Source organism: Homo sapiens, chromosome 1 (genome assembly GCF_000001405.40).
Source record: "Homo sapiens chromosome 1, GRCh38.p14 Primary Assembly".
NCBI lineage: Eukaryota > Metazoa > Chordata > Mammalia > Primates > Hominidae > Homo > Homo sapiens.
The window spans coordinates 200,533,762-200,539,181 of record NC_000001.11 but is presented as its reverse complement, the minus strand read 5'-3'; the positions used below and the strand labels follow the sequence as shown (position 1 = coordinate 200,539,181).

The following is a 5,420-nucleotide window of genomic DNA, read 5'->3' as shown; positions in this document are numbered from 1 at the left end:
GATGCCTGCTCCTAGTCATTGATCCCAAAGGTAACCCCCACCCTGACTTTTAACACCATCATTACTTGTGCCTGTTTTTGAGGTTTCTATAAGTAGAATCATACCTATGAACTCCTGTGTTTAACCTCTTTTGCTTAATATTATCTCTGTGAGATTTAGGTTGTTATGTATAGTGGTAGTTCATTTTCCTTGCTGTATAGTATTCCATTGTATGACTGTCACAGTTTATTCATCTAATAATAAATTAGACTTATTATTGCATTAATAATAAATGGTGATAAATTGCTTGCTTTTTTTTTTTTGGATCTCACTCTGTTGCCCAGGCTGGAGTGCAGTGGCGTGATCTCGGCTCACTGCAACCTCCACCTCCCAGGTTCAAGCAATTCTCCTGCTTTGGCCTCCCAAGTATCTGGGACTACAGGCGCACACCACCATGCCTGGCTAATTTTTGTAATTTTAGTAGAGATGGGGTTTCACAATGTTGGCCAGGCTGGTCTCAAACTCCTTACCTCAGGTGATGCACCTGCCTTAGCCTCCCAAGGTGCTGGAATTACAGGCATAAGCCACCATGCCTGGCCGATAAACTGCATCATTGACCATCCTTCCTATATCCATACCCTTTGTCATGTAACTCTTCAATGCCTTCCCACTGTGGGCACGGTGCAATTCCCTGCATGGGTTTGACCATGTGATTTGCTTTGGTTACAAGGATATTAGCAGAAGTTATGCCATCTTGAAAAAAATGCTCTGAAGATTTGTTTTGCTAGCTCTTGTCTCTCTGCTGTTGCCATGAGACAAAGAGGTGCAAGCTGGTCCTAGGAGCAGGATGAGAGATGTGTAAAGCAGTGCCTCCCCTGAACCCTCCAGAACCCAGCCTAGATGAGCCAGCCATAGAAGCATGAGCTAAAAAATATGCCATTGCTGTATGCCATGGGGATTTGTGTGGCCATAGTTAATTGACACTCCATTCTACAGTTGATGGACCTTGGTGTCATTCTCTGTTTTTGGTAATTACAGTAATGTTGATATGAACATTCTGGTACATATCTTTTGGTGCACACATCTACAGTTTTCCCCATTGCTCAAGAATGTAAAAATTAATAACATGTCCTTATGCAATTTCCTTTATTAATTTTATTATGAAATATATATCCAAAAAGTAAAAGTAACATCTATGTGTCTTTGTTTTCATCTAAGCCTCTGGAGAGATTTACAGTAATTGCAAACAATAATTTCTATGGCAAAAGTGGTTAAGACCTCACTCTTTAACGGTGTGTGCAGCTGCTTACTTTCCTGCAAATAGAAGGCCTTGGGAGGCCAGTGGGAACATGGCCTGGTGGGATCTAAGTTGTTTCTCTTTGCCTCTACAAGCTAAACCAAACCCACTTTGAACTTGTTCTCTCCCAGTTGGTGCCCTTGTCAGGGCCATACATCACCAGCATGCTTCCCCCAGATGACCACTTCAACTATACATCATCCAAGTGAGCTGGGGCTCTCTTAACGTATTGCTCTTATACATCAACAAAGTGAGCTGCGGCTCCAGGAATCTATTAGTGTAATACACCACTAGGGTAAGGCATACTGATAGAGCAAAGCTGGTCGATCTGTGAATTGTAGATATCTAGGAGTTCGGGTCAAGAGAGTAATGCAGATTTCAGGTTGGATTGATGTGGCTATGAATGGTATTTTATGATATAAAGTTTACCTCTGATTTAGAAAGTAATTTAACGTGGGTGACAGCTCAGGTTCGGGCTAAGAGAGGTCGACATGGTAGATATCTGTAACTCTTGGAAGATGTGTTTCAGGAATAAATTACTGTTCTTGATACTTTTATTTCATTTTGCGATATGTCACGGGGGGCACCAGAAAATTGGCCTGGGAGGAAAGTTTTGCACATAAAGCAAAACGGGCTCATTCTGCTGCCTGCCAGGTAAATAAATATGAGGGGAGTGTGGCCTTTGGAAGGCTCAGTTACCATCTGTTTCAGTTGGTCAAAGCTGCATTCTCAGGGTCTTGCTCTTGACCTAATGTTTATGTAACAAAGCAGCACAGCAGTTACAATGCATAAATTGTTATCAGTTTCTGCAAGACTCCAGAGATCAGAAGAATTGTAGCGTTTAGGCAGAGGAACAAGGGAATACAGAAAGTACAATGACCAGACCCCAATGGGTGGTTCAAATAAATTAGGCCCCACATCAGGGGCACATAGCTACATTTGTTGCTCAGGACAGAAGCAGCTCTGTTCTGTACCATAGGCATAACAACCATATGCATAACTGACAGCTTCTGATGAGACATGGAAAGAATTTTCTGGAGACTCTCAAGAGTTACCCACAACTTCATTAGCTATAAAAACAATGGTAGCAAACACTTACTAAATAATTATCCATTGATTCACTTAATGCTCACAACAGCCTTATGAGTTAGGACCTATTAGCTGTCTCTGAAAGTTCAGAAGAGTGAAGCACAGAAGAGTTGAGGGACTTGCCCTATGTCACACAGCTGCTACAGGTAAATGATGAAGATGGGATGAAGCCAGGTAATCTGGATCCAGACTTTCTGCTGTTAGCCACCAAGAGCAGAGCCCCAAACCTAGCTGCACATCAGTATCACCTGGGTAGCTTTTTTTTTTTTTTTTTTTTCTGAGACAGAGTCTTGCTTTGTCTCCCAGGCTGGAATGCAGTAGTCGCAATCTTGGCTCACAGCAACCTCCACTTCCCAGCTCAAGCAATCCTCCAGCTTCAGCCTCCTAAAGTGTTGGGATTACAGGCATGAGACACTGCTTCCAGCACTGGGTAGCTTTTTAAAAATACTAACACCTGACTAGGTGCAGTGGCTCACGCCTATAATCCCAGCGCTTTGGGAGGCTGAGGTGGGAGGATCACTTGAGGTCAGGAGTTCGAGACCAGCCTGGCCAACATGGTGAAACCCCATCTATACTAAAAGTACAAAAAATTAGCTGGGTGTGATGGCTGGTGCCTGTAACCCCAGCTACTAGGGAGGCTGAGGCATGAGAATCACTTGAACTTGGGAGATGGAGGTTGCAGTGAGCTGAGATCGCGCCACTGCACTCCAGCCTGGGGACAGAGTGAGACTCCGTCTCAAAAAAAAAAAAAACAACCCTGACTCTCAGAGATTTTGATTTATAATTGGTCTGGGGTAGGAATGACCTATACATAGGTTTTTGCAGCTTATTTTCTATTGTGCAGGCAAAATGAGAAATAACTCGATATCTGTCAATAAATGGTACTTATTTTTATTATAATATTTTAATGCAAATACACCTGAAAAGGGCAGAAGTCACTTTCCAATCAGCAAGTGCGAGGCAGTGCCACCTGGGTAGTGAGTCACTCATTGGCTCAATGGCAACACCCAGAGGCAAAGTAAACAACTGCAGATTACTATGCGTTGCCTAGCTTAGACATCAGATGCCAGCTGCCTCACAGGGCCTAATATAAGTCATGGGCCCCTTTTAAAAGTAGAAAGTGGGCTGGGCATGGTGGCTTATGCCCTGTAATTCCAGCACCTTGAGAGGACAAGGCAGGAGGATCATTTGATGTCAGGAGTTCGAGACCAGCCTGGCCAACATGGTGAAACCCTGTCTCTACTAAAAATACAAAAATTAGCTGGGCATGGTGGTGGGCGCCTGTAATCCCAGCTAGTTGGGAGGCTGAGGCAGGAGAACTGCTTAAAAGAAAAAAAAACCCTGGAGGCAGAGGTTGCCGTGAGTCAAGATTGCACAACTGCACTCAGCCTGGGCAACAGAGTGAGACTCCACCTCAAAAAAAAAAAAAAAAAAAAAAGTAGAAAGACTTTAAAAGTAAAAGTACTTTTAAATTTAACACCAATTTTTGGAAAGATTTTAGAAATTTCTGCTTATCTCAAAGGCAATGAGTATTTTGTTCCAGTGGAGATGCCTTACATAGTTCATATCAGTCGTGATAGAGCTTGTGTTCTGTCATTTCAGGCAGCTGAGACAGAACCACGTGCCATTTTTATAGGGGCTCCCTTCCCGTGGGTGTGCCCACTCGCCCCTGTGTGGGGAATCTTTTTTTTTTTTTTTTTTTTTTTTTTGAGACCGAGTCTCGCGCTGTTTCCCAAGCTGGAGTGCAGTGGCGCGATCTCGGCTCACTACAACCTCCGCCTCCCAGGTTCAAGCGATTCTCCTGTCTTGCCCTCCCGAGTAGCTGGGACTACAGGTGCGTGCCACCACACCCAGCTGATTTTTTAAATTTTTAGTAGAGATGGGGTTTCACCATGTTAGCCAGGATGGTCTCTATCTCCTGACCTCGTGATCCGCCCGCCTCGGCCTCCCAAAGTGCTGGGATTACAGGCGTGAGCCACCGTGCCTAGCCCCTGTGTGGGGAATCTCAATGCTGCCTCGTTCTAGTTCTCACTGCCTGACAACTCCAATCTACACTGCAGGCCAAATGGAAAATGGCACAAACCCAACTCATTCACACATCCATTTGGCATTTGCAACAAAAATCAGGAAACATGGTCATTCTTCAAGGGTTTTCTATGTAATGAGGACAGAATGCAGATACAAATTAACATCTTAATATTACAAATTCTTTGAACAGTATATTAATGTTTCTTATGCAATATAACCAGGTGAAATTACCTGAAACTGACCATTAAGCTTTTCGATGCTAATACAGAGTGTAGATCTTTCTGTGCAACATTTGATTTTAGCCCAAAGCTTTAAACCCTATTAACATCTAAATGCTGAATGAGGCTATAAAATATGCATATATAATTTTGGGAACTGAAACAGATAACCTTTTAAAATATAATTGATGACACCTGTAATCCCAGCACTTTGAGAAGCTGAGGTGGGCACATCACTTGAGCCCAGGAGTTCAAGACCAGCCTGAGCAACATAGCAACACTTCATCTCTACAAGAAATACAAAAAAATTAGCCAGGCATGGTGGCATGTGCCTGTAGTGCCAGCTACTTGGGAGGCTGAGGTGGGAGGATCAACTGAGCACGGGAGGGTAAAGCTCTAGTGAGCCATGATCATAACACTGTACTGTAGCCTGGGCTACTGAATGAGACCGTGTATCAAATATACAAATAATTGAAAAAATCTAAGATGCCCACAAAAATCTTAATTTCATAACTGTTCTGATATGCATTATATATAATAGTTACACTATATCCGATAGTGATAAGTGCTATGGAGAAAAAAAAGACTGCAAGGGATAGAAAGTGCTAGGGTAGCCTTGTGCGGTGGCTCACACCTGTAATCCCAGCACTTTGGGAGGCCAAGGCGGGTGGATCACCTGAGGTCAAGAGTTCAAGACCAGCTTGGCCCACATGATGAAACCCTGTCTCTACTAAAAATACAAAAATTAGCAGGGCGTGGTGGCAGGCCCCTGTAATCCCAGCTACTTGGGAGGCTGAGGCAGGAGAATC

General features: G+C 43.5%; 1 annotated feature.

Annotated features, from left to right (window-relative positions):
• Positions 3,387-3,456: a silencer, noted in NCBI's record as "silent region_1672". NCBI's record gives its function as "represses an Ori minimal core promoter by ATAC-STARR-seq in GM12878 lymphoblastoid cells {active_cell/tissue: GM12878}" and the evidence as "EXISTENCE:reporter gene assay evidence [ECO:0000049][PMID:35858748]".